The sequence below is a fragment of the Homo sapiens genome, chromosome 7 (genome assembly GCF_000001405.40).
Source record: "Homo sapiens chromosome 7, GRCh38.p14 Primary Assembly".
Classification (NCBI taxonomy): Eukaryota; Metazoa; Chordata; class Mammalia; order Primates; family Hominidae; genus Homo; species Homo sapiens.
The window spans coordinates 44,914,106-44,921,301 of record NC_000007.14 but is presented as its reverse complement, the minus strand read 5'-3'; the positions used below and the strand labels follow the sequence as shown (position 1 = coordinate 44,921,301).

Here is a 7,196-nt window from a genome sequence, read left to right as displayed (position 1 = left end):
TGCCCAGTCTGGAGTGCAATGGTGCGATCTCAGCTCACTGCAACCTCCGACTTCCAGGTTCAAGCGATTCTCCTGTCTCAGTCTCCTGAGCAGCTGGGATTACAGGCGCCCACCAATATGCCCAGCTAATTTTTGGTATTTTTAGTAGAGAAGGGGTTTCACCATGTTGGCCATGCTGGTTTCAAACTCCTGACTTCAAGTGATCCACCCGCCTTGGCCTCCCAAAGTGCTGGGATTATAGGCATGAGCCACCGCACCATGCCATTTTTTTGTATTTTTAGTAGAGAAGGGGTTTCACCATGTTGGCCAGGCTGGTTTCAAACTCCTGACCTCAGGTGATCCACCCACCTCGGCCTCCCAAAGTGCTGGGATTACAGGCATGAGCCACCACACCCGGCCATTTTTTTGTATTTTTAGTAGAGACAGGGTTTCACCATCTTGGCCAGGCTGGTCTCAAAACTCCTGACCTCAAGTGATCTGTCCGCCTGGGCCTCCCAAAGTGCTGGGATTACAGGTATGAGCTACCACGCCCAGCTGGAGTTCTTTATTTAATGATGTCCTACCATGAAAGTTCACATAACTCCTTTTTTTTTCAGTTTTTATTATTCTTTTATATAAATCCTCTGGATCATAACTGCTTCTGTCAAACCATGATACCGAGCTTTATGACAACTCAGAAGTAAGGACTAAGAGAAGGCAAATATAATGCCTTCAAGATCAAGAGACGTTTATGTAGTTCAACTGTTAGAAACAGCTCAACATTGAGCTAGTGAGTAGAGTGTGTATGTCAGTATCCACAATATACAAACCCTTCACGGAGCTGCAAGACCTTTTAACTGTCCTTCAGGTGCTTCCAAATGCTGGTCCTGTGGAACTTCTTTCTTTCTGAGGCTGGTTTTCTTTCAACACAGTTTGGGGTCTGACAATCATGTGTTCAGATTTCCAGGAAACGTGACTACCTTCCTGTTGAGTCCTTGTTTCTCCTACGCATCTTAAAATGACACTTTCTGCCAATAAAGCTTTCCTTGTTTCTACAAATAACTTCTCTTCATCTGTTTCTTTAAGTTTCTGCAGCTCAATATACTTCACAAAGCATTGACAGGTAGGCTTGAAGCTTGGATTGAACAGATCAAAAGCTTTTGACCAGATTTGTAGGCTGAATAGAATTTTGCTCCAATGGGCTGGGCGCGATGGCTTATGCCTGTAATCCCAGCTCTTTGGGAGGCCAGGGCAGGTGGATCACCGGAGGTCAGGAGTTCGAGACCAGCCTGGCCAACATGACAAAACCCCGTCTCTACTTAAAATACAAAAATTAGCTGGGTGTGGTGGCGTAAGTAGCTGGTGTAATCCCAGCTACTCGGGAGGCTGAGGCAGGAGAATCACTTGAAATCAGGAGGCGAAGGTTGCAGTGAGCCGAGATCATGCCATTGTACTCCAGCCTGGGCAAAAAGAGCAAAACTTCATCTAAAAAAAAAAAAAAGAATTTTGCTCCAATGGGATCCTCATGATACCAGATGTCCTCCATGAGAATTTTGGCTTTGCCATATCATAAGTGGGGCCTCTGGAAGACTGGCTCCTTCCACAGGGGAAAGGTGTTATGTATGTGATGCTAGAGAGGTTTCTCCTTCAATTTCTCCTACAGCACTCCTGCTCAAATCACATACTGAGTCTGCAAAAAGATGCTCCCTGCGATTTCCAGCCAGCTGTAGATGTTCCTCTTGAGTGCTTCCTGAGTGGTCCTCAAGGGTGCTCCTCCTAGATTCTCCAGATGCTCCCCAGGATACGCCTCCCATAAAAGACATCTAGGTGATTTTCCACTCCGTGAATTCTTAGGACACTTTCTTAACTGCTTCTGGTTTCTCTGTTTTCTACTTAACTTTGCATATTCCTGTTAGATCAATCTTTCTAAAGTGCAGCTCTGAAAGGGGGTATGGTGGGGGGATACTTCTGTGCAAATGCCTGAAATACCTCCAGTGGCATCTCCATCAGAATAAAACCCAGACATCTGCATAGAACATGTAATGATCAAGTCAGAGTATTTAGGATATCCATTGCCCTAAGCATTTATCATTTCTATGTGTTGGAAACATTTCAAGTTCTCTCTTCTACCTACGTTGAAATAAACAAAACATTGTTGTTAACTATAGCCACCTTACTGTGACTAGATCTTTTTCCTTCTAACTGTATGTTCGTACCCATTAACCAACGTGTTCTTCCCCCCTCCCACTGACACCCCTTTCCCAGTCTCTACTATCTATCATTCTACTCTCTACTTCTATGGGATCCACTTTTTTTTTTTGAGATGGAGTTTCACTCTTGTTGCCCAGGCTGGAGTGCAGTGGTGCAATCTCAGCTCACCACAACTTCTGCCTCCCAGGTTCAAGCGATTCTCCTTCCTCAGCCTCCTGAGTAGCTGGGATTACAGGCATGTACCACCACGCCCAGCTAATTTTTGTATTTTTAGTAGAAACAGGGTCTCACCATGTTGGCCAGGTTGGTCTCAAACTCCTGACCTCAAGTGGTCTGCCCACCTCGGCCTCTCAAAGTGCTGAAATTATAGGCGTGAGCCACCACGCCCAGTCAATTTTTTTTTCTTTTTTTGGAGACAGTCTCACTCTGTAGCCCAGGCTGCAGTGCAGTGGTGCGATCTTGGCTCACTGCAACCTCCGCCTACCAGGTTCCAGTGATTCTCCTGCCTCAGCCTCCCAAGTAGCTGGGATTACAGGCACACACCACCACGCCCAGCTAATTTTTGTATTTTTAGTAAAAACAGGGCTTCACCATATGGCCAGGTTGGTCTCAAACTCCTGACCTCAAGTGATCCGTCCACCTCGGGCCCCCCAAGTGCTGGGATTACAGGTGTGAGCCACTGTGCTTGGCCTGAGATCAACTTTTCTAGCTCCCACATATGAGTAAGAACATGTGATATGTTCAATAATGAGAGGATGAAAAAAAGGACATGTGATATATGTCTTTCCATGCCTAGCATATTTCACTTAACATAATGATCTCCATTTCCATCCATGTTGCTGCAAAGGACAGGATTTCATTCTTTTTTATGGCTGAATAGTATTCCATTCTATACATGTAACAAAATATCACATGTACCCCATAAATATGTACAAATATGTATTGATTAAACAAAAGAAATGTATCCAATAAAGAATGAAGATGCTAGTAACCAGAATTTGGCATATCCTGTGTTTTAGAAACCAGTGCTTACCAGATTTCTGGAAGATAAATAATCAGCTAGTTATTCTGTATGTGATGGTCTATGTGGATTGAACCCTTTCCTTACTATTTTTACTGGTATTTTGTAAATATGAAGCCATTGAAGAATAAACAAATTCTATGTTGTCCCAAAGGAAAATACAACTAATTACGTATCAGTGACTAATTAAATACGGTCATTTTTTTCTTCTGAAACACTTCAATATAGTTTAAAAATAAAATAGTTTACATAACTTTAAAAAAAATCCAGACATTTGGAAGTAGCCTGTCCCTCTGAACCCTCAGAATGTTTGTGAACTTGTCTCTGGCCAGGTACAGTGGCTTGTGCCTATAATCCCGGCACTTGGGGAGGCTGAGGCAGGAGGATCACTTGAGGCCAGGAGTTAGAGATAGGCCTGATCAACATAGCCAGACCCTGTCTCTACAGAAAAAAAAATTTTTTTTTTAATTAGCTGGGCATGGTGGCCTGTGCCTATAGTTCCAGCTACTTGGGAGGCTGAGGCAGGACGATTGCTTGAGGCAAGGAGTGCAAGGCTGCAGTGAGCTATGATTGTGCTGCTGCACTCCAGCCTAGGTGACAGGGCAAGAGCCCATCTCAAAAATAATAATAATAATAATGATAAATAAATAACTAAAATTAGCTGGGTGTGGTGGCATATTCCTGTAGTCTCAGCTACTTGGGAGGCTGAGGTGGGAGGATCTCTTGAGCCTAGGAGTTTGAGGCTGCAGTAAGCTGTGATGGTGCCACCGCACTTCAGCCTGGGCAACACAGTGAGACCCTATCTCTAAAAAAAAAAAAGGTAGCAGGGATACTTTTTTCTTATCTCCTACTAAATGCCTATTTACCTTTCCAGAATGCCACACTTGGCTTATAAACACTAATGACCTAACAGAATGCCTTACTCAGTGGGAGGCCAAATAAATAACTCTCATGTTGTTCTCTTTCTTCATGTGACCCAGTCTGAGTATTTGAACCTAAGGGTAGAACTTACCCAACACCATACTTAGAAATGACTTCAGGTCAGGCATGGTGGCTCACGCCTGTAATCCCAGCACTTTGGGAGGCCGAGGCGGGCCGATCACGAGGTCAGGAGATCCAGACCATCCTGGCTAACACGGTGAAACCCCGTCTCTACTAAAAATACAAAAAATTAGCTGGGCATGGTGGCGTGCCCCTGTAGTCCCAGCTACTCGGGAGGCTGAGGCAGCAGAATGGTGTGAACCCGGGAGGCAGAGGTTGCAGTGAGCCAAGATCACGCCACTGCACTCCAGCCTGGGTGACAGAGCAAGACTAGGTCTCAAAAAAAAAAAAAAAAAAAAAAAAAAAAAAAAGCCAGGCACTGTGGCTCACACCTGTAATCCCAGCACTTTGGGAGGCCGAGGCGGGCAGATCACAAGGTCAGGAGATTGAGACCATCCTGGCTAACACGGTGAAACCTCGTCTCTACTAAAAATACAAAAAATTAGACGCACGTGGTGGTGGGTGCCTGTAGTCCCAGCTACTTGGTAGGTTGAGGCAGGAGAATCACTTCAACTCGGGAGGCCGAGGCTGCAGTGAGCCGAGATCGTGCCACTGCACTCCAGCCTGGGTGACAGAGTGAGACTCTGAGGTCTCAAAAAAAAAAAAAAAAAAGAGGCCGGGCGCAGTGGCTCACGCCTGTAATCCCAGCACTTTGGGAGGCCGAGGCGGGCGGATCACAAGGTCAGGAGATCGAGACCATCCTGGCTAACACGGTGAAACCCCGTCTCTACTAAAAATACAAAAAAATTAGCCGGGCGTGGTGGCGGGCGCCTGTAGTCCCAGCTACTCGGGAGGCTGAGGCAGGAGAATGGCGTGAACCCGGGAGGTGGAGCTTGCGGTGAGCCGGGATCGCGCCACTGCACTCCAGCCTGGGCGATTGAGCGAGACTCCGTCTCAAAAAAAAAAAAAAAAGAAATGACTTCAGACATTTACAATGCACTTTCACACACACCCCTTATTTCATATCACAACTAACCTTCAAGGTAGGTGTTCATACCGTCACGTCTCAACTGAGGAAACGTAGGCTCAGAGATGTGTAGGGATGGGGCTCCGGTTCTTTCTGTCCAATTTCGTACCGCCCAACACTTAGGTCCTGAGACCCTGGGGGCCCCTGAGATCTCCCGTCAGGAGGGACTGTTCTTATTCAGATATTGCTTAGCCACTACATGAGTGAATTACATTTTTCCAATGAAGTCTCTAAGACTATATGTATTAACTATTGCCAAAGTAAAAGAAGCACTAAAATTCCTAATATGAATATAGGTAATTAGCAAATTTTTTTTTTTTTTTGAGACGGAGTCTCAGGTGCCTGCAACCACACCTGGCTAATTTTTTGTGTTTTTAGTAGAGACATGGTTTCACCGTGTTAGCCAGGATGGTCTCTATCTCCTGACCTTGTGAACCACCCACCTCAGCCTCCCAAAGTGCTAGGATTACAGGTGTGAGCCACCGCGCCTGGCCAGCAAATAATTTTTATAATTTTTCAAAAGATCTATTATATTAATCATTGAGGTGTTTATATTGTTTGATATCTAAAAAGTCAAGCCAGTCTTATAGATTTACCCAAATCCATTTACTGGTACAGATTCCCATTTGGAACAGTATGTGGTTGTGACAGCCACAGGCAGCGCTGAGCCTGTGGGGGCAGAATTGGGGGACTGGAGAAGATGCAGACTTCACCATCACACAAGGCTGCTTTTCTATGATTCCAGGAAAAAGAAAGACTACTTGTCTAAACCACATAACTGTCCATAAAAGCCTGAGCTCTCTGTTAGTTCTCCCAAACCAAATCACTATGGCAACACAAGCTACGCACACTTATGCATGCTTACGCACACATACGAGCACACTTCCTGGGACAGCCCCAAATGGGCGCTCGCGTGTCTGGGCTGAAATGTGGGCCAGAACCCACTTCAATAGCACAGAGATCACCAGAAGCAGCATTTCTAAGCAGAAATGTTTTCACTCAGCCTTAAACCGATAAGCTTTCAAAATGTGGAGTATTAATTCACTCTACTATTTTTATTTTATTTTGTTTTATTTTATTTTATTTTATTTTATTTTACTTTTGAAACAGAGTCTCACTGTCACCCAGGCTGGAAGCACAGTGGCAAAATCTTGGCTCACTATAACCTCCACTTCCCGGGTTCAAGCAATTCTCCTGTCTCAGCCTCCCCAGTAGCTGGGACTTCGGGCACATGCCACCAGGCCCAGCTAGTTTTTATATTTTTAGTAGAGACAGGGTTTCACCATATTGGTCAGGCTGGTCTCGAACTCCTGACCTCAGGTGATCCACCCACCTCAGCCTCCCAAAGTGCTGGGATTACAGGTGTGAGCCACCATGCCCAGCCCACTCTACTATTTTTATCAAATAATTAGAAATGGTACCTGGGAAGATGAGTGGGCAAAATATGGGATGTTCAGATACCATGGTTTGAAGACATTACAATTAGAGATGTAAACCTGACATGAAAGTAAAAGGAAATTAGAATTATGTTTTATTTTCTGTCCTTTTAAAATATAGAAATCATGCATGCTCACTGGAAGAAACCGAAGGCATGGAAAGAAAGAGGCCCTTTTGTGGCCTCCAGTCTGGGGCAGCCTAGTGTGTGGCTAAGGAATATGTGGAAATGGAGGCGACTCTGCCCCTTTGCAGCAGGCCATCAAAAGCCAGCCGGCAAGTGAGTGAGATGTCAGATGGCTCCAGCCTCAGTCTTGAGCCATCCCCTCTGAGCCTTGCCAAACTGCAGATTTGTGAGCAAAATCAATGTGATGTTGCTTTTAGCCACCAAGTTTTCAGGCAGATCAGGGGTCCTGGAGTAGGTGTCATTGAAACTGGGCTCTGAAGGCACCCAAAGAGGGAGGGAGGGAAAGGGTTTGAGGAGACCATGGGTGAAGGCCTGGGGCAGGTGCACAACCAGGGGTGGGAAGAGGCAACTCCAGG

At 45.4% G+C, this 7,196-nt stretch overlaps 1 pseudogene; it reads right to left on the bottom strand.

Annotated features, from left to right (window-relative positions):
* Positions 630-1,178, bottom strand: MRPS23P1 (mitochondrial ribosomal protein S23 pseudogene 1; annotated as a pseudogene).